At 44.4% G+C, this 21,961-nt stretch overlaps 1 long non-coding RNA gene and 1 pseudogene across 1 annotated transcript in view, besides 2 other annotated features; one reads left to right on the top strand and one right to left on the bottom strand.

Moving 5' to 3' along the window:
• The first annotated feature begins 3,469 nt into the window (after window positions 1-3,469).
• The window catches only part of LOC105378977 (uncharacterized), a 54,627-nt gene continuing 36,135 nt past the window's right edge, over window positions 3,470-21,961 (top strand). Inside the window, exons 1-2 of the long non-coding RNA XR_948342.3 lie at window positions 3,470-3,814; window positions 8,554-8,705. This is a non-coding gene — a long non-coding RNA (uncharacterized LOC105378977). The remainder of the gene's footprint in view (window positions 3,815-8,553; window positions 8,706-21,961) is intronic.
• On the bottom strand, window positions 4,599-4,723 carry RNU6ATAC2P (RNA, U6atac small nuclear 2, pseudogene; annotated as a pseudogene).
• Window positions 7,162-7,374: a silencer, noted in NCBI's record as "fragment chr5:55595955-55596167 (GRCh37/hg19 assembly coordinates)". NCBI's record gives its function as "represses an EF-1alpha promoter that drives an FKBP-Casp9 reporter gene in an ReSE screen in K562 erythroleukemia cells {active_cell/tissue: K562}" and the evidence as "EXISTENCE:reporter gene assay evidence [ECO:0000049][PMID:32094911]".
• Window positions 21,707-21,846: a silencer, noted in NCBI's record as "silent region_16020". NCBI's record gives its function as "represses an Ori minimal core promoter by ATAC-STARR-seq in GM12878 lymphoblastoid cells {active_cell/tissue: GM12878}" and the evidence as "EXISTENCE:reporter gene assay evidence [ECO:0000049][PMID:35858748]".

Raw genomic sequence — 21,961 nt, forward strand, 5'->3', positions numbered from 1 at the left:
CAGTGTTTGGTTTTCTGTCCTTGTGATAGTTTGCTCAGAATGGTGGTTTCCAGCTTCATCCATGTCCCTACAAAGGACATTAACTCATCCTTTTTTGTGGCTGCATAGTATTCCATAGTGTATATGTGCCACATTTTCTTAATCCAGTCTATCATTGATGGACATTTGGGTTGGTTCCATGTCTTTGCTATTGTGAATAGTGCCGCAATAAACATATGTGTGCATGTGTCTTTATAGCAGCATGATTTATAATCCTTTGGGTATATACCCAGTAATGGGATGGCTGGGTCAAATGGTATTTCTAGTTCTCGATCCTTGAGGAATTACCACACTGTCTTCCACAATGGTTGAACCAGTTTACAGTCCCACCAACAGTGTAAACGTGTTCCTATTTCTCCACATCCTCTCCAGCACCTGTTGTTTCCTGACTTTTTAATGATCGCCATTCTAACTGGTATGAGATGGTATCTCATCGTGGTTTTGATTTGCATTTCTCGGGTGGCCAGTGATGACGAGCATTTTTTTCATGTGTCTGTTGGCTGCATAAATGTCTTCTTTTGAGAAGTGTCTGTTCATATCCTTTGCCCACTTTTTGATGGGGTTGTTTGATTTTTTTCTTGTAAATTTGTTTAAGTACTTTGTAGATTCTGGATTCAAAACGAAACAAAACAAAAACCTGAAAAGCATAGACAGTGCAGATATCTCCTTGGGTCCCATGGCAAGTGCCCAGTTTTCCTTTTGTGGGGAGAAAAGCCCTACCTCCTTTGCAGAGTTGTTTGTCAGAGCCTAGAATAAGATGATACTTGAGATAAAGTAGGTGGGAAGATGGGATCTCCTAGTGACTCAAACCCATTCACAGTTCATGCTACAAGAGAGCATTGTTTTTCTATCCTCATCCTTTCTTTCCATATCCTTCCAATAAATGGCCTGTTGGGTGAGGTGCAGCTCAATGGGGCAGAACCACATGGACTTGCAGCAGGAACCGAGCTTGAGGCACCATCAGCACTCCTCCAACCCAAATGGTCTCTCAGCATGGGGAGAGAGGGCCCAACAGCATCCACACCCATGGCAAAAGAAGGGAAGGACCTCCTTGCCTGGTGGGACCCATGCACCTTCCATTCCCGAAATATGGGAAGCTATGTTTCAAGGAGAGATGGTGGCAAAGAGACCATGGCAACTTTTTTAGTTCCTAAAAGAATTAGTGAAACAAATCTAAAACTAACACACTTTGTTATAATTTACAGCAAAGTTGCCATGTGTTGAGGCCGAGATTTGTTCCTTCTCTTACTTTTGCACTCCCTATTCATTATATTACTTTGGAGATGTTTGTCTTCAGAGGGCATTTATGTTTGTGTTTTTTATGTCCCCATGCAGAATAACCCCAAATTTTATTTTCAGGGGCTGCTGCATGGTCTTAAAAGATGCTTCTGAAGCGTTTATTCTTGGTTTTACTCTTGCAATTCTTCCTTGTTTCAATTCAGAGCACAGCAGAAAATGTATTCCAACCCACATTTGTGGAAGAGAAAGGAGTTGGGCTCCAGATGTTACATCTCTCCTTGAAACATAGCCTAGCCACTCCTACCTGGACATTTAGAGCTTCCCATAATGGGTCCCAAGTCAACTTCTAGCCAGCAGTGCTGTCATTTCTGTGTGTGCTCCTAGTCCCTAACAGACACCTTACCTAGCCAAGAGAACTGACTTGTGTTGGTCCCAGGTAGCTGCGTGTGGTCTGTGTGGATGAATCATAGATAAGCTTATTTTGTATTTTCCAACCAGATGTCATGGAGCTACTTAGCAGATACTGAATTACGACTCCCTAGAATAGTGTTGAACATTGACAACAGGGGTGATCCTGGTAAGGTCTGCCATCTCCATGAGGGTCTTTGTGTCCAGGCTAGGAGGCCCTTCCCTCATTTTGCCATGGATGTGGATGCAGTTGGGCCCTCTCTCCCCATGCCGAGGAGACCATTTGGGTTGGAGGAGTGCTGATGGTGGTGCCTCAAGCTCGGTTCCTGCTGCAAGTCCAGTGGTCCTGCCCCATTGAGCTGTACCTCACGCAACAGGCCATTTACTGGAAGGATATGGAAAGAAAGGATGAGGATAGAAAAACAATGCTCTCTGGTAGCATGCACTGTGAATGGGTTTGAGTCACTAGGAGATCCCACCTTCCCATCTACTTTATCTCAAGTATCATCTTATACTAGTGAGAGGTGACACTGTGCTGGCAGTCCTCACAGCCCTCGCTCACTCTCGGCGCCTCCTCTGCCTGGGCTCCCACTTTGGCGGCACTTGAGGAGCCCTTCAGCTCACTGCTGCACTGTGGGAGCCCCTTTCTGGGCTGGCCAAGGCCGGAGCCGGCTCCCTCAGCTTGCAGGGAGGTGTGGAGGGAGAGGTGCGAGCGGGAACCGGGGCTGCGTGCCGCACTTGCGGGCCAGCTGGAGTTCCGGTTGGGCGTGGCACTCGGAGCAGCCGGCCCCGGGCAATGAGGGGCTTAGCACCCGGGCCAGCTGCTGCGGAGGGTGTACTGGGTCCCCCAGCAGTGCCAGCCCACCGGCGCTGTGCTCAATTTTTCACCGGGCCTTAGCTGCCTTCCCACGAGGCAGGGCTCAGGACCTGCAGCCCTCCATGCCTGAGCCTCCCACTCCCTCCATGGGCTCCTGTGCAGCCCGAGCCTCCCCGACTAGCACGGCTCCCTGCTCCATGGCACCCACTCCCATCGACCACCCAAGGGCTGAGGAGTGCAGGTGCACGGCACGGGACTGGCAGGCAGCTCCACCTGCAGCCCCTGTGAGGGATCCACTGGGTGAAGCCAGCTGGGCTCCTGAGTCTGGTGGGGACATGGAGAACCTTTATGTCTAGCTTCAGGGATTGTAAATACACCAATCAGCACCCTGTGTCTAGCTCAGGGTTTGTGAATGCACCAATGGACACCCTGTATCTAGCTACTCTGGTGGGACCTTGGAGAACCTTTATGTCTAGCTCAGGGATTGTAAATACACCACTCTGCACTCTGTATCTAGCTCAAGGTTTGTAAACACACCAATCAGCACCCTGTGTCTAGCTCAGGGTTTGTGAATGCACCAATCCACACTCTGTTTCTAGCTACTCTGATGGGGCCTTGGAGAACCTTTATGTCTAGCTCAGGGATTGTAAATACACGAATCGGCACTCTGTATCTAGCTCAAGGTTTGTAAATACACCAATCAGCACCCTGTGTCTAGCTCAGGGTTTGTGAATGCACCAATCGACACTCTGTATGTAGCTACTCTGGTGGGGCCTTGGAGAACCTTTGTGTTGACACTCTATCTAGCTAATCTGGTGGGGACGGTGGAGAACCTTTGTGTCTAGCTCAGGGATTGTAAACGCACCAATCAGCGCCCTGTCAAAACAGACCACTTGGCTCTACCAATCAGCAGGATGTGGGTGGGGCCAGATAAGAGAATAAAAGCAGGCCACCCAAGCCAGCAGTGGCAACCCGCTCGGGTCACCTTCGACACCGTGGAAGCTTTGTTCTTTCGTCCTTTGCAATAAATCTTGCTACTGCTCACTCTTTGGGTCCACACTGCTTTTATGAGCTGTAACACTCACCTCGAAGGTCTGCAGCTTCACTCCTGAGCCAGTGAGACCACGAACCCCCTAGAAGGAAAAAACTCCGAACACATCCAAACATCAGAAGGAACAAACTCCAGACGTGCCACTTTAAGAGCTGTAACACTCACCGCGAGGGTCCGTGGCTTCATTCTTGAAGTCAGTGAGACCAAGAACCCACCAATTTCGGACACACTAGGCTCTGACAAGCAACTCTGCAAAGCAGGTAAGGCTTTTCTCCCCACAAAAGGAAAACTGGGCACTGGCCATGGGACCCAAGGATATATCTGCACTGTCTATACTTTTTAGGTTTTTCTTTCATTTTGTTTTGTTTGAAATAGTTTCACTCTGTTGCCCAGGCTGAAGTGCAGTGGTGCAATCTTGGCTCGCTGCAACCTCCACCTCCTGGATTCAAGTGTTTCTTGTGCCTCAGTCTCCTGAGTAGCGGGATTACAGGGGTGTGCCACCACACCCAACTAATTTTTGTATTTTTAATAGAGGTGGGGTTTTGCCAGGTTCACCAGGCTGGTCTTAAACTCCTGACCTCAAGTGATACACCCCCTCAGCCTCCCAAAGTGCTGGGATTACAGATGTGAGCCACTGCACCCAGCCTGTTTTCAAGGTTTTTTAAAATTTTTTATTTATTTATTATTATTATACTTTAAGTTTTAGGGTACATGTGCACAATGTGCAGGTTAGTTACATATGTATACATGTGCCATGCTGGTGCGCTGCACCCACTAACTCGTCATCTAGCATTAGGTATATCTCCCAATGCTATCCCTCCCCCCTCCCCCCACCCCACAACAGTCCCCAGAGTGTGATGTTCCCCTTCCTGTGTCCATGTGTTCTCATTGTTCAATTCCCACCTATGAGTGAGAATATGCGGTGTTTGGTTTTTTGTTCTTGCGATAGTTTACTGAGAATGATGATTTCCAATTTCATCCATGTCCCTACAAAGGACATGAACTCATCATTTTTAATGGCTACATAGTATTCCATGATGTATAAAAAACGATGGTTAGATGCCACGAAGTAGGTGGCAATGCCTTAACCGTATGCGTGTTGTCAGGCCCGAGGGCCGCTTCCATCCTTGTCAAGGGGAGTGCTAACCTTCTCTCCTTTCATACAACACGTTTTCAGGGTTTTATAGGGGAAATGGAAACCCATAGGTGCAGGACAATAGTGACCTGCTGCCTCTAGTCACCTGACATAAAATATTCATTATCATAATAATGATCATAGCTGCCATACAATGGTTATTCTATTTAATCTTCCCAATACAGTACAGAGATTACAGTTTCCCTTTAAAAGGTGGGAGTCCTAAAGCTCAGAGAGGTTATGGAGCTTGTTCGCAGCCATACAGATGATCAATGGTGGACTAGGATTGGAACCTGTCTCTCTTCAACTTAAAAGCACAATGCTTTTACCCTTCCTCCCACTGCTTCCTTGAGGAGTTTTGCCCTGCTTACTCAATGAGTGTTGCAATGAGTTTTCTTTAATTTCTGTACCTTATCTTTCCACTACGTACAACCTCATTTATCCAATAAGACTTCACAGCCAAGTGGCTTTTGCAGAGTGCTGAGCACTCACCTGGCCTGAGATTGTTGGTACTGATAGAAACACAAGGAAATATCTATTTCCAAAATTGGATAATGTAATACAGGTCCATGTTTGGTGCTAATGAGTTGGAGGAGAAAGGTGAAACACAGCAATAATTATTTTTAGCATCAATGTTTTCCCCAAATAACTCATTTCTAGAGCCAGGTCTGCGTGAATAGCTTCAGCTGCTGGCAACTTGAAGGTTCCACCCATAGTGTTAGAAGTTAGAATTGAAAGGGAGTAACAGAAGAAGAAGAGAGAAGGATGCTTCCAGGCATGCGAGGGGTAGACGGAAAGGCCAGGGCTGCCTCCGTTCCCAGCTTGGCCCTGTGACGCCTGGCCCAACAGAGCTCCAGTTCTTGGCCTGTCTGTGGGAGGAAGATGCCTGAAGTTGGGCCAGAGGTCTGGCCCGGTCAGAGACTGAACCACTCAAATGCCAAGAAAAGGGATTCTCAGAGTTTTGGAGTCTGGGAAGTTTGTTACGATGGACTTCCTTATCAATGAGGGAAGGGATCTCCAGGGCTATCTTCATTCATCTTAGGCCTGTTTCCATGCTCTCCTCTTTGTAGCCAAAGGATTAAAAACGCCACATTTCTGCTTTCCACAGCATGGTGGGGCAATGGTTTTATTCCCACGAGCATCATCTACATGTTATTGCTGGAGACACTGAGACAGTTTGAAATCTGTAGCAAAAGTAGCAGGATGGCATCTCTCCATTTCCCATGTCTTTTTCAAATACAGTGTTCTAGGTGCCAAAACATCCAAATGTTATAGAAAGAGTCTCTGGACTCAGAGAGAGTATTTGAATTCCAGATTTTCCACTTACAAGCTGGGTGACCTTGGCCAAATTTCTCAGCCTCCCTGAGCCTCAATATCCTTGTAAAATGTAAAAAAATAATGCCTGCTTGCCAGGCTTGTGAGGATGAAATGACATAATATATGCTAAAAATGCCTAGGCCTGTTCCCAGTAGGTGGTCAGAGCTGGTTTCCTTCCTCTCTCTACCCCCTTATATTCATTCATCTCTTTTTATTTTTGCTGTAGCTCACACTTTAGAGAAGGTAATACCTGCTTTTCATTTCTTCTGAAAAGGCTGCACAAATCTAGCATCTATAGTCTGGATAATTATCCGGAGTCTTGATAATGATGTTTATGAGAACTGTGCCAAGGAATGGGACATTCTCATCCTAGCTGAACACTCGCTGCATCTCAGAAAAGGGCAAAGGCAGCCCAGGCCGGGTGCACACAGGCCAAGGAAGGTCAATAGCAGTAGCAGAAGCCAAGTCATTTCCCCACCAGGGAGAACCAAAGGGCCAGAAGTTAAAAGAAAGGACAAGTTTCCCAGACATCTGTTTCTCTCGGGATTTGTAGCACTGATCCTTGCCTCAAGGATCTGAATGCCTAATTGCTGGAGGCAACTCAAAAGAAATTGAATCAATGGAGGCGAAAACAAATTAGTAGACAAGCTGGCCCAAATAAGATGCCCTCCACCAGAGTTCTGTAATGGCCTGAGTTGGATTCCCATCAGACAAGATAACCAATGAAAGGGTGGAAAGTTTTTGTATCTGGAGTGAATAGGGACCCAGTGCAGGAAAATTACTAGAAAATTAAGGAAGGCAATACAATGGTAGAACTTTTAAAGTAGCCCTAGAGTGGTACTTTTGTTTCTGTTCCAAAGTGCTGTGTTTCCCCCAATAAACCTGTAATATTTTTGTAAGAGGAGAATGATAACAATGGCTGGTGGAGCAGAGATGGTGGTAGAGAGGAGAGGAGGGATGAGTTCTGAGTTAGAGATGTATGTTTTATGATGTAGATATGGAACTTCATGTTTTGAGATGTGACTGTCATAAAGTAATATAACTATATATATCTATATTTAAGGCTATTCTCTTACCCTGACTGGGTGGCCAGTGACCTGCTTTTAGACCAATTCCACAGGAGGGGTCTAAAGACTTTCTCAGCAAAACAGAGTCCTTAAACAAAGTGCACAAAACTCACAGGGTGACCTCTTTGAGCAAGACCCTCATCTGAATGTGCGAGTATGGGTGTGAGGGAACAGAGCTTTGGGATCCATGGGCCCATTGGAATCTCAAGTCTTCCAATTACAGAAAGCCCTCATTTAACATGGTCAATAAGTTCTTGGAAATTGTGACTTTAAGCAAAAAGACCTATAACCATTTTTTTCCTCATCAATGTTATAATGAAATGACACTGAGCTAAATGATGTTATTTCGGCACCTGCTGTACAGCGTTTAGCTTCCTGTCACAATTTCTTTTTCTTTTTCTTTTCTTTTCTTTTTTTAAGATGGAGTCTTGCTCTGTTGCCCAGGCTGGAGTGCAGTGGCACAATCTTGGCTCACTGCAACCTCCGCCTCCAGGGTCAAGTGATTCTCCTGCCTCAGCCTCCTGAGTAGCACCCGCCACCATGCCCAGCTAATTTTTGTATTTTTAGTAGAGATGGGGTTTCACCATGTTGGGCAGGCTGGTCTCAAACTCCTGACCTCAGGTGATTCACCCGCCTTGGCCTCCTAAAGTGCTGGGATTACAGGCATGAGCCACTGTGCCTGGCCCCTGTCCCAATTTCTAAGAACCTATTGGTGACATTAGGTGAGGACATACTGAACAAATGATGTGAATTTGGGCAAAACTTAGTCTCCCTGCATTCTGATCCATAAACTGTGGAAAAGGACCCTACTTCATAGGATTGTTTTGAGATTTAAATGAAATAATGTTTATATTAAACACTTTGCTTTATTACCCATTGCTTCTGAGCACCTTTCTCTACATCTCTGCCTCTCTCTCAACACCTCAGATCATTCTTCTGACAATGCCCACTGCACATTCTGTGCCCCCCACAGCCTTCCTGAGCTCAAAGTAAACATCAAATTACTGTTCCTGTTGTAAAGTGAAGAAATCATGGGGAGGTACCAGGGGGTGGGTGGAAGGGCTGGACTTGGCTGCACTGTGGCATAGGTGAAATTGGGCTTTGGCATTCTGCTGCCTTCTCTACAAGTAGGAACTGGTTTCTTCCTGGGGCAGGCAATGTTCATGGCCTACTCACTGGCATTTGCCCCGTGTTTCACTCCCTGATTTTGTAATAGGTGGATTTTTCTTCCTATTGGGAAGGGCAAGTCCCTCTCCTAACTTCCAGAGAATGAGTCATCATTACTTTAAGCCCAAGGCAATCTCATTCCCCTTTGCCAGTGACTGGTTTAAGGGAAGGCAAGGGATCCAGTTCCAACCAATCAGATGCAAGGAGAAGTCTGCTTGAATCTTCTGCTAAGGATTTCACTTTCTTGTTAAAAGACAGACGCGTGGCTTGCAATGCTATTTAATACTTTCTTTTCCTTCCATTTTCAACGTAGAAGTGATGCTTGAAACCACAGCAGCCATTTTGGGGCCACGAGGCAATAAGCACAAGGATAAAAAGCCAAGAACCAAAGATGGAGAATCAAGGGTGTAATGAACCTAGATGATATGATATGACAGAGTCCTGAACTGCTAGACTTCTTACTAGGTGAGATGAGTAAATGTATTCATTGCTTAAATCACTCGTAATTTGGATTTCTGTTAATTGCAACTAAAAGCATTCTTATCTAATATTCCTTATTGTTGAATAGCATTTCTTTCTGAAATGCCATACTGCAACCTTCCTGATAGCCCAGGATCTCTGCTAAGGTACCACTGAAGATCATGGTATTAGCTGGACTTAATGCATGGTTTCATCAATGAATACTTGCATTTTAACAAATAATTCCTGGAGACAAAGGCATAAAACTATAATGGCTGAATGACAGATATTGGGGTTAGTACTTTGCAGAGGGCCAGGGGCCTCGATTTCTGCCTCTTCAATACCTCCATGTAACTACTAGCTGGTTTACCTATACATTTTCCCCAGAACCTTGTTACTCAAAGTGTGGTCTACCAGCTGTACTGGCATCACCAGGGAACTTTTAAAAATATGAAATCTTAGGCCCCAGTCCAGACCCACTATATCAGAACCTGCACTTTAACAAAGATCTCCAAATGACTCATATGCACATTAAGTTTGAGGAGCACAGCCTCAGAGGATGTGGAATTGCTGGAGTTCAAAAACAAACAAACAAAAAAGGTCAGTTTTCTAGTGCTAGATAAATAGCTCACAAAGCACAGTGTCACAAGGAAAAAATTCTCATTTTGTCTTTTTATCTGGCTATGGAGATCTGGGGGTAAACTAGGTTTGTTGAATAAATAAATATAATTCTTTCAAAGTCATCTGAACTTGGAGATCAGAATCACCCAGCACAATCACTTGCTTCAAGATTATATATTACTTCTGAAATAGACACGAGTTATACAGAAACTGGGAGACAGAACAGAGATGGAAATAGTGGTGGTACGGCCCAAGGAAGTACCCACTGCAGCTGGGCATGGCCACATTTTATAGGCCCTCATTAAGTTCCATCATGTGAGGGTCCGCTCACTTCTTCAAATACTCAGATTCTCATCATTGGCAGTGGCTGGTGATCAGGTGGTAAGTTATCCATGCCAATAAAAATAAACATTAGTTTGCATGAGATTTAAGAATGTCAAACAATTAATCTGCATGAAATCTATAGCCGTCACATGGACAGGAAAGCTCCTCTTGGCCTGTTCCAGAAAATTTTCTCCCTGTAAAAATCTTCATGGTAACCCAAGTTGTAATCGGAAGTCATCTCTCTGATTTATCAGGAGACATCCCCATCTTGGGGACCAGAACTCTTGAAAGTCCCTGCAAGTAGTACATTCCCTCACTCCCCTTCCCAAGGCAGACTTACATGGAAGGCAAAACTAAAATGAGAAGGATGCTTTGTGTGCATGGAATCAAGATGAGGAGATTTAGATATATGTGTATAATAGCATCAGGATGAGATGGCTGGATGTATCCATCCTGCCATCAGGATGGTCTGGAAAAAGGGAGAAATTGGAGCCTAGCAGCTAAAGCTCCATGTCCCTGAACACCTGAACAGTCTCAGCCAATATTCACCCTCCCATTTTCTAGATCTTGATGATGATGGTTCATGCTATCTTTACATTTTCTATGCTTTTAATCAAGTTATAATCAACAGTGCTTCCCGGGTAACATGCTGTCTTTTTAAAGTGATTTGTATATTCTTATTACAGCCTAATATAAACTGCTCTCGCTGTTTAATGTGTAGAAAGCAATATCATTTCACTCTTTCTAAGTTCTTAGTAGGCATCTCATGGTCACCCTCAAGTACTACTATAGTGTAGACCAGTGGTCCCCAACCTTTTTGGCACCAGGGACCAGTTTCATGGAAGATAATGTTTCCATGGAAAGGGTGGGCAAGGAATGGTTTTGGGATGAAACTCTTCCACCTCAGATCATCAGGCATTAGTTAGATTCTCATAAGGAGCACACAACCTAGATCTCTCGCATGCGTAGTTCACAGTAGGGTTTGCGCTCCTATGAGAATTGAATGCTGCAGCTGATCTGACAAGAGGCAGAGCTCAGTGGTAATGCTCACTCCCCCACTGCTCACCTCCTACTGTGCAGCCTGGTTCCAATACTGGTCCAAGGCCTGGGAGATGGAGACCCCTGGTGTAGACAATAAGGTATAGTCTTAGTTCTACTTAGTGCCATTAATGGTTGCAGTGGAGTAGAGCATCATAGCTCCCAGCTTGTGTGCTTCCGTAGGACTGGGTAACAGGCGTGTCCAAGTAATTGATCCTCTCAACCCTTGGGGAACACAGGCAGGTCCTAGATGGCTGGAACCTTTAGGTCATTCCTGCCCCACAGTGATGTCTCACAATATGAAAAAAGCTGAGAATCCCTAGGATAGTGGAATGGACCTGGAAATCAGCATACCACTATGTATGTGTGGGCACCCTTTTGCAGGTCATTGTACTCTCAGAAGCTCAGTATCTAAGCCAGGTGGGCCAAAGCTTATTTCATGCTGAATCAACAAAGTTACATCCACCTGGGCTTAAAATGAGCTTATGAGGGGAGGCAGTGCCAGGCCTGCAAGTGGAATCCAAATGGTCCCAGGTGTGGAACTAACTGCTGGACTGCAGATGCAGAGAACCAAGTGGGTCATAGCATGAACAGAAATCAGACCCTTCTCCTTTCCTCTTGGTGCTCATATTTGTCAGACTTGGGAGGCTCTGAGAGGAGAGTGGCTGGTAGCAATGTTTAAAGAGGGCAAAAACAATGAGCTGGTCATTCACTTACCCAGTGGAAAGCCCAGGGAGGAACTCAACACATTTGGGAAGCAGTGACCAGAGTAACTTAGACTACATCTCAAATTATAGCCAATAAAGTGATTGTCATTTTTCTCGCAGAAAATGTACATATTCTCTGAGCTCTAGATTTTTTGACTGTGCCATTATTTCTGATATCCCAACAATTCTTTAACATCAGGGGACCTTTTACATATACTCTATAGAGCTAACAACATTTTCTATTACTAAATGGAAATGTTGTCCAGTATTTGTCTCCACTTTCTCTGGTAAGATATTCTGCCTCCTACCTGTGGACATTTAGCTACATTCCTGGTCATTAATTGTATAGTGAATATCTTGGCTGGCGAAATTTCTTAGTCCTTTTTTCTCTTGCTGTCAGAAAGCTTTCTGGAAAGTTTTATTTTGATATCACTGTATTAGTTTGCTGGGGCTGCCCTAACAAAATACTATACACTGGGTAGCTTAAAAGACAGGACTTTATTTTCTCATGACTCTGGAGGCTAGAAGTCTGAGATCAAGGTGTTGGCAGGTTTGGTTTCTCCTGAGTCTCCTCTCGTGGCTTGTGGATGGGTGGCTTCTCCCTCTGCCTTCACATGATCGTCTCTCTGTTTTCTAATCTCCTCTTCTTGTGGGGACACCGGTTGTATTGGATTAAGGCCCACCATATTTACCTCATTTTAATTTAATACCTCTGTAAAGGCCCTGTGTCCAAATACAGTCACATTCTGAGGCCCTGGGGGTGGGGGCTTCAACATACGAATTTTGAGAGGCCTGCAGTTCAGCAATAACAGTCACTAATAGCACTGAAATGAATCTGTGGCTGGCTCAGTCCTTCAGGGCAAAAAAGGATGTAGCAGATATCTGTTTTTAATTACACTAATAGCTCACAGGATTTTAGAACAGAACATGTCTTTGGAAAAGTCATCTCATCATATGCTGTTATTTGGCAGATTAAGAAACTGAAGCCCAGAGATGTTATGTGACATCCCTAAACATATACAACTGGCATCTGATGATGACCTGAGGGTGAGGCATATGGTCAGAACTTCAGCAGAAGCAAACTACTCTACTTACATATTCTTATATATAAAGCCAAGATAAAACCATGATTGTCTTTTTGTGGCCAGGAAATGTACTCATGGAAGAAAGCCTACTTATCGTCCTGCAAATTGGTAATTTTTCCGTGGTGACTTCTCTCCTTGAATCCTGGAGTTCCCACCTGGAATGTTCCTGGCTGCCTCTCTAGCAGTGATGTGGCTGTCTGCTGAGGTGGCCTCTGCCTGTGCCAGGGCCAGCAGCAGCTTCCTGATCCTGGCTTCCTGGTCCCAGTATGGCAGCCACAGCTGCCTCCTCATACTTTCAAAGCTGATGATAAAATCACAGAATCAGGAATCCAGCTGCCACCACTGCTCTGACACATTTTCATGACCTGCTTGTCCACAGATGTAGCAGCAGGGAGATAGCTGCTGTCTTACTGCTGTGGTTTAGGTCTTGCCTAAGTGCATCCAGAACCCTAGATCCAAGAGAGTCTGGGAAATGCAGATTTTAGCTTTCCAGACTGCAGTACAGAAAAGTACATAGAAAGAGGTGGAGTGAATGGAGAGTGTCAATCAACCATACCCAGCAAAGTTATACCGTGGGTTACATGGATTTTAATTAGTAAAACAGAAGGAATCAGTGAAGACTGCTGGGAACACTGAATGGAGAGGCTTCAGGTTTCTTTAGTATGGAGTTGAACTCAGGCCCAGTGGAGATCATTTCTTAAAAATGGTAAATGGATAACTTTTTCCAACACATATGCCTTCTGCAACTAGAGTCAGCATGCAATATACCAACAAATAAATCAAGAATGGGATTATCTGTTTTCAAAATTTGCCTGGGAACAAAAAGTATTTGTATCAGAGGCTGATATCCCTTGCCCCCTGCCCCATAGCCATTCTCTTCTTCTTCCTTTTAATGACAGAAACCCCCAGAGTTTAAGATAGACACATGGCCATCAAGCTAGCGCATAGGTTGGAAAACTATGGCCTGTGGGCTAAATCCGGCCCACTGCTTTTTTTGTAAACACACTTTTCTTGGATCACAGTGACACTCATTTATTTGTACATTGTCTATAGCTGCTTTCACACTACAGTGACAGAGCTGGATAATTGTGACAGAGACCACACAGCCTTCAAAGCTGAAAATATTGACTCTCTGGCCCTTTACAGAAAAAGTTTGTTGACTCCCGTGCTAAAGACTACAGTGTCTAGCCTCTCTTGCAGCTATGTGAAATCATATGACTAGCCTTGGTCCATGGAGATATGAGTGAGGGTGATACCTGTCACTTTTATGCTTTGGCTTTAAAATATTTGATGTATATCTTCTATCCCTCTTCCTTTTTCCTGTAGGCTTACCACACTTTTAATATAATGTACCAGATAGTTAATATTTTAGACTTTGTGGGCCATAGAGTCTCTGTCACAACTACTCCAGTCTGTCGTTGGAGCACAAAAGCAGCCATAGACAACACATAAACAAGTGAGCATGGCTGTGTTCCAACAGCACTTCACTTACAAGAGCAGGTGGCACTACAGATTTGACCTGCAGGCTGTAGTCTGCTGATTTCTGCTCTTAGAGATGACTGAGTAACACAAGGAAGGAACTCGAGTTCCTGAATGAACACATGGGAAAAAACTGCCCACCAACCTAGACCATTCCCCCAAGACTTGTTGATGAGAAAAACAAATACCTGACTTATTTAAGCCATCGTATGTTTGGGTCTCTCTGTTACCACAGCTTAGCCTTACATGGTGCATCTTGGGTTTGTAGATGATACCCAAACTTGAGAGATATTTTCTTTTTCTTTTTTTCCACTCTGTCCCTCAGGATGGAGTGCAGTGGCAGGATCTCAGCTCACTGAAACCTCTGCCTCCCTGGTTCAAGCGATTCTCGTGCCTCAGCTTCCCAAGTAGCTGGGATTACAGGCATGCACCACCACGCCTGGCTAATTTTCTGCATTTTTAGTAGAGATGGAGTTTCGCCATGTTGGCCAGGCTGGTCTTGAACTCCTAGCTTCAAGTGATCTGCCTGCCTCAGCCTCCCAAAGTGCTGGGATTACAGGCATGAGCCACCACACCTGGCTGAGAGGTGTTTTCTAATATTTGGTCAAGATCTTGATTCTAATGTTTGCAATTGAATGTTAACTGAGCACCTACTGAAGGCCAGTCTCTGTGCAAAGCATAGCAGGGGATGAAAAGATAAAAAAGACATATTCCTTCTCACCGCAAAGGACAATCCATGTGTTAGGACTTGGTGGTAGGTTGTAATCAGTTGTGAAGTTAGTCACTAGCAATTTACAACCTAAAGTTTTGAAGTTTGTGAATGATGTGCTGTGTCAGGGGACCTCAAGACCACCCTCAGGCTTCAGTGATTTCTTAGAAGGACTCACAAGACTCAGAAACTGCTATACTCATAGTTATGTTTTATTAAAGTGAAAGTTTACAGATTGAAATCAGCAAAGGGCAAGGCACATAGGGCAAAGTCCAGGAGAAACTAGGAACAAACCTCCAGATGTCCCCTCCCAGTGGAGTCATATAGGGGCCATACTTAATTTCCCAGCAATGATGTGTGAAAACACACATGAAGTACTGCCAATCAGGGAAGCTCCCCAGCCTTGGTATCTAGGGTTTTTTAACTGGGGTTCCGCTACATAGGCATTCAGCACCCATGTGACTGACCTCAGCTACTCAGTCTCTAGCTCCCCAGAGCAAAAACAGGCATTTATCAAAAATCACATTTTTAGCATAAACTTATCTGGTTATACTGGTACAGCCTGGCCCAAGGCCTCAGGCATACAAAAAACACTCTTATCATGCAGAATATTCTAAGAGCTCAGAGGTTTTGCCCAAGCCAAGGGTCAGTCCTGAAGAGAGGCTTTCTTTTGGAATGTGAAGAGTTTGAGCAACTTAGGGATTCTGAGTTAACCCTTTCCAGTGCATGTGCCTTTTATGTAAATAAAATAGATTTAAGCATATCCCCATCTTGCCTTTTGATATGCTTTTTGATTGGGATAGAAAAGGATTAAGTTACAGCTTTTTTGCTGGACCCTGACACAAGCATGTATAGAGAATATGATTGTCGGCTGGGCGAGGTGGCTCACGCCTGTAATCCCAGCACTTTGGGAGGCGAGGGGGCAGATCACGAGGTCAGGAGATCGAGACCATCCTGGCTAACACAGTGAAACCCTGTTTCTACTAAAAATACAAAAAAATTAGCTGGGCATGGTGGTGGGCGCCTGTAGTCCCAGGTACTCGGGAGGCTGAGGCAGGAGAATGGTGTGAACCCAGGAGGCGGAGCTTGCAGTGAGCCAAGATTGCACCACCGCACTCCAGCCTGGGCAACAGAGCGAGACACCGTCTCAAAAAAAAAAAAAAAAAAAAAGTATGATTGTCATCCTTCATAAGGGTGAAAAAGGTTGATAACTATCCACTTAATGAAGGGAATAAAATAAGAGCACATAAATTACAATGAAAAATCACAGAAAGGGGCCAGGCACAGTGGCTCACGCTTTTAATCCCAGCACTTAGAGAGGCCGAGGTGGGAAGATCACTTGAGGTCAGGAGTTTGAGACCAGTCTGGCCAACATGGTGAAACCCTGTCTCTACTAAAAATACAAAAATTAGCTGGGCATGGTGGCATACCCCTGTAATTCCAGCTGTTTGGGAGTCTGAGGCATGAGAATCGCTTGAACCTGGGAGGCAGAGGTTGCAGCAAGCTGAGATTGCGCCACTGTACTTCAGCTTGGGCGACAGGCTAAGACTGTCAAAAAAAGAAAGAAAGAAAAAGAAAGGAGGGAAGGAAGGGAGGAAGGAAGGAAGGAAATCACAGAAAAGTACGGCATGGGCTGAAAGGAAGAGTGCTCTCCAACATTGGAGAGATTAGGAAAGGTTTCAGGAAAGAGGTGGCTTGGAGATGGCCTTGATCCTTGGTAAGATCGTCACAGAAAGACTTAGGTGGCAGAAAAGGGATATTTGGGGCAGTGCAGAATGAGAGAATGGTGCAAAGGCAGTAAGGCATGCAAGTTGGCGTGTTTACATGGGACAGTGAGTAGTCACACTTGACTCTGGTGGGAAATGAGATTGGAAAAGTAGGTGGGAGTCATATTATGGAGGGCATTAGATTCTGGGCTGAAGATTTTCTGATACAATCAGCAGGCAATGGGGAGTACTCAGTCTTTGAAAGTTGTGCAGTGGAATATGTTCCTGTCTGTGGTTTAGAAAAATTCTTCTGCAAGAATATGATAAACTGAACAATGTTTGAAGCAGGACAACCAGTAACAAAGCTATTATGAGACAAAAAATAGTAAGAGCCTGAGTTATGGTCATGAATGTGGACAGGAGAAAATACTTACCAGAAACAATTTAGACACAGAATCTATAGGACTGTACTCTAAGAATTTGGTAAACAGAGGCATGTCAGAGAGAGGAATGGAGAAGAACCTAAGAGCTGTACATGCTCCATGAGTTAAAGTATAAAGTGACTGAGTAATTGTGTGCTACTGTAGGAAATAAGGAAAATAGGCACTAGAGCTTATTTGAAGAGGGGCTGGAGGTGGGGTGAATCACAGATAATCCATTAGATTTGGAAATGGTAAGTGTGAGATACCAGTAAAATGTCCAAATGATGTCTATCAGGCCATTCAAAGAATGAGTCTGTAGCTTGGGAACAGGTAATTTGTTTGAGAGTCTTTGTCATTGAGGTTCTGTGGGAATAAATGACATTGTCAAGAAAGAGAATGTAGAGGGAGAAGAGAGGCTGACTTGAGGAAGAAGTTTGGGGATACTGATAATTAAATGACAGACAAGGAAGAGGCATCAGAGAAGGTCAGAGGGAGAAGCAAAGGAGAATCAGGTTGGAAACCAAGGAAGGAAAGGGAATCCACTGGTTGCTGTGTCCTGGGAGGTGGAGCAGGATGCAGTGGAGAGAGACTGTTGAGCCTCACTGGCATAAAGAAAGGTGATGCTTGATGACCCTGAAGGCGGAATTGGCCAAATTTCAGGGTTTAGTGAGGGAGTACTGGGAAAGTAGAGGAGAAACTCTGCCATGCCTGGGGAGAAGCAAGAACTCCTGTGGATGGGGGTGGCTGGGTGGGAGACGCATGGATGGGACACAGTGGTAGGCCACCAAGAGTGAAATGCTAATTGCATAGGCACCCCAAAGCTTCCATGCAAGCTTAGCAAAGCAAGTGTCCCAAAGGGTTCAGATGATGACAAGTCTTTCTTTCATATGGAGCTGGGACAGATACTTTGCCAAAGCCTCTTTAAATGCTGGCGACACTGTGAACGCCCCTCAGGGACCACAGGGAAGAGGATCCCACAATCAATTATTATCTGGGCACTCTTTACTCATCGTGGAATTTGGCGCGCCCTTGGGTGCTGTGTTCCAGCTCAGGATCTCCACTTTTCAGATTAAAGAGCTGTTATAACTCTCTGTTTATTTTAGGAAAGATTAATGGTTCCCCCTCCTCGTTTCTCAGGGACAGACTTTAATCTGTCTAGAGTGAGTCATGAAATATATCAGCTCAACCGCTCTGGCTGCAAGATTACAGATATAAAATTGTCCGATTTTGACAAAAAACAGCTGCAGCCCTTCTTTTGATTTTGAGTCCACAATCACATGTGGATAGAGACAGATAGGGGATGTGCCTGGTAAGAGTTCCACGATAGGCAGAGACATAGGTCAGGAGACACAAGCCCTCCACCCTTATCTATAATCCTCCCAAGAGCCTCCAACTTGTCACCTTCAGCAAGATGTCTCTCAATTAATTCATGTCAGGTTAATTTAACTCAATTCAACCAACTCTCACAAGCTACTTTCACGATTAATGTGGAAAATGAAAGGTGAGCAAGAAGGAATACTCTCAACAAGTTTCAGTCTACCGGTGGTGAGCTAAGACCCACCAAGGAATAATCGTGATAAATGCTATTTAAAGCTGTTTGAAGAAAGAGGGCATTGAAAGGTGAGCTCCAACCTTAGGCAAGACCTTCTGGAGAGGGCAGTGTTGGAGCTGATCTTGAAGGGCCTTGGCGTGTGTGTATGTGCACAGGTGTGCATGTGTGTATGCACCTGAGTTTACAGGGTTAAGCAGAGAGAAAGTGAAGCATTCCAGGAAAAGATACTTTGATAAGCACGTGGAGACAGAGAATTGCAGTGCTTGGGGAATGTGTGGGAAAATCATAGTTGAAGAGGGCTTTAGGTCCAGATGTTTGATGTGTTAGATTCACCTGGGCAACTTGTGAAAAATTCATCAGCCAAGGTCTTGCCACTGGATTTTAAAAGCTAGGCTGCTGGGATTTTGAGACGTTAATGATTTGCCAGGGTCATTTTGCTCATTAACTAATAGTAGGACCAGCTGGAGGACCTGTTTTCAGGGAAGAAAAAGTTTGTTTTGTTTTGTTTTAATTCAAAACTGCTGGGGTGTAAGATTTGCGAGGGGAGTTACAAAATAGAAGACTAGAAAAGTAGGTTGGACCCAAATTATGGATAGATTCAATGAAAGGCTAAGGAAATTGGAATTTTTCTATCAGCAGAGAGAGTCATTGAAAGTTTCAGAGAAGTGACATTGTCAAAATAATCAGAGATATCATCTAAAAACAAAAACTTATGGGTTCAGCCTGTTGACTGGAAATAGGAGTATAACTGGCTTACAGATTCCATACCTTCCCAGCCAGTTAGGCCCTCCTACTCTCATCTGAATCACATTCCTCCATAAGCCTATAGAGGCAGGGGTCCCCCCTCTTATATAAGTGATGAAATATCTCTGAGCACCCTCACTGTATCAAGCATTTCAAAACAGCTCTCTAAACCCTAAGGATGTAGTGTTGGTAAGATGAGTGTAAATGCTCATTTGGCTCTTGGCCCAAAGAAAGTACATGCTAATCCTCCCCCAAACCCACCTCATGGGGTCCATCTACCTCTGTGGTAGGAGTAGCAGCCCTGAGTCCTTGCCTGAGGATAAAGGGAGAGTGTATGTGGGTGACCACAGTGCTTCACCACAGCCAAGAGAGCAAATCAGGAGTCAGGCCTGCAGATGATGGACCCTCTCAAGGCTTCATGGGCAGATGGCAAGTCACAGAATGGGGATAGAACTGTGTTGCTCCTGGAAGTCTGCAGTCTGGAAGTCTGGGCCCTAGTTAGGGCTACATTGCTTATTGCAATCAGAAGAGGAGAGGTGGGAAAGAGATTTGAAGCCTGATTAAAAGCCCACCAGCTGTTTACACCAGGTGACGCTGGCCTTGGGAAAACAACTACTGGCCCGAATAGCTGCCCCGTGGGTACTTAGCTCACCTGCTTCCTCATACTGCTTGCCTTCACCACGTGGAAAATTCTCTCAGCCTTTACCCATAATTTGTCTTTCTTCTTTTTGTTTTCTGGAGGGTAAAATGTAGTTTCAACTGAGAGATCAAACAAAGATACCCTAAATGGAAGCACTCTGTATAGAAGGAAGCTCAAGATTGCAATTAAAATGTTGGCAGCATCATTGGAAGGCAGAGAAACTATCACCTTGGAACAAAGATTGGGCTAAAATAATCCAGAATGAGGAAAATTGTTTAAAAGAATTATCTACACCATGAAGAAATTCATCAGCATTTTGTGTAAAAGATGGAAGGTCAGAAGTAACGTACCTTTCATTTATACTGTGTTCAGATGTAGCATTTCTCAATGGGTATGTTATTGATAATTAGGCAGTACTGTGTTATATACAATTTTTCCACATTGGCAGCCACCTCGCATCCCCAGCACCTCCTCCAAAGTGCCAGCAGCACTCTCAGTCATGGTAAAACTAAAAAAGTCCTGAGAAACGCTGCTCTAATGTTTCAGAGTGCATGTGAATAAGTTATTTCCTTTAATCAGCATAATGATTCAAAATATTTGTAACATTTTCACTCTTCAGATGATGAACTGAGACCGAAAATGAATTGCTGGCTTTTTCACCTGTCTAGTGAAGGGTGCTGCTGGGCCTCAAATTCGAATAGACTGATTCCTAATTCAGTTCCTTCTCTAAAACATTGTGCTATCTTTCAATGGAGGCAGAGATTTATACTTGATTTCATCAACTAATATATATATGCACCTGAACTTTTGTTGTTATTTATATTCTAGCTATGTTCTAAGGAACATAGATTTTGTTAAACAGAACACACTTTGTTTCGCTGAGGGCCTTGATGGACACTTAGCGGTAGGAGCTAAGGGGAACTGGGCTAATTTGTCTGATAGAGGGAGAAGGTCATGGAGCTCCCAGGGAAAATAAGGAAGGAAGAGAGGACAGGACAGAGAGCCTAGAGGTAGAGGACCTTGGGAAGCCTGGAACTATGTAACATGACCCACCCACATACTCTCACTCTGCATCCCAAGGTATTACTTGTACAAAGTATTACTCAAGAAATGCTTAAAGTGTGAATTGTTTTGTATAAAATGACAAAGGGCTGAGTATTACACCTGGGTTGAGAGAGGCTGATACAGAGCCAGTACATATGGACCCAGGAGCCAGAGGCAGGAGGGATTATGAGTGCAAGTTTCCTGACAATTAGAAAGAATCAAAGGCAGGGATGTTCACAGGTGTAGAATTGGTGGATTCACCCAGACATCTGAGACTGTGGAAGCACTAGCTCACATCTGGGTCACAGGCAACTCAAATGAAGGTTGAAATACTGCAATGCTGCTGGGCTCTACAATATTTTCCAGGAATTGTAGTCAGGAGAACTGATTTATGTCAAAGAAAACCAAGCTTGAAATATTTGAAGTGACTGATGATTTACTTCCTAATCTGATGAAGACCATAGAGGAATTCTCTGGATAGAGTTAAATTGATGAGTGAGGGACATGATGTAGACCCAGAAATAAACACCTGGAAGGAATATGCAGCCAGCGGCCCCAGAACTGTTGCTTCCATAAGCATGGAGAGGCTTATGGGTGGTCATTCTCTGTAATAAACATTGGATGGTTCCGTAACTCCAGATTCCATGAAAATGACAAAATGACAGAAAAGGACTGAATCCATATATGGAAAGAGGACCAAATCTTAAGCATAATTATTATCTAGTTATGATTGCTATACACTGGGATTCTCATATAAACATCCAGTGTGTTCACAATAGGAACCTGGTGAAACCTGGCTTGGATTCCTTTGGCCACATCACTCTGTTCATGTTTCAAATGAGTCTGCTCTGGTTTGTTGCTTTCTTGGATTCAAAGCCTTCTTACTGTTAGGAAAATGTTCCTTATCTTTGCCTGTGCCGTAATCTTTATGTGAGAAACAGGAGATGGTGTCCCCGGATGCATGCACAGCCCTGCCGCTGAGAATCTCACTGAGACTTGTGCCTGAGTGCTTCCCCCTAGGGGTTCTCTGTGACATTGCCCTGCAGCCGCAGGCAGGGTGCTCATCTGCTAGGCCACGGGGTCCTTCAAGGATCCCAAAGTTCCAAACCGTCCTGAGAGGAGAATAAAAGAAAGACCATTACTGATGCCAGATTTTTGTGTTGGCTTCTTCTACTCTGATACTTCCACAGG

This window comes from Homo sapiens, chromosome 5 (assembly GCF_000001405.40).
Source record: "Homo sapiens chromosome 5, GRCh38.p14 Primary Assembly".
Lineage (NCBI taxonomy): Eukaryota > Metazoa > Chordata > Mammalia > Primates > Hominidae > Homo > Homo sapiens.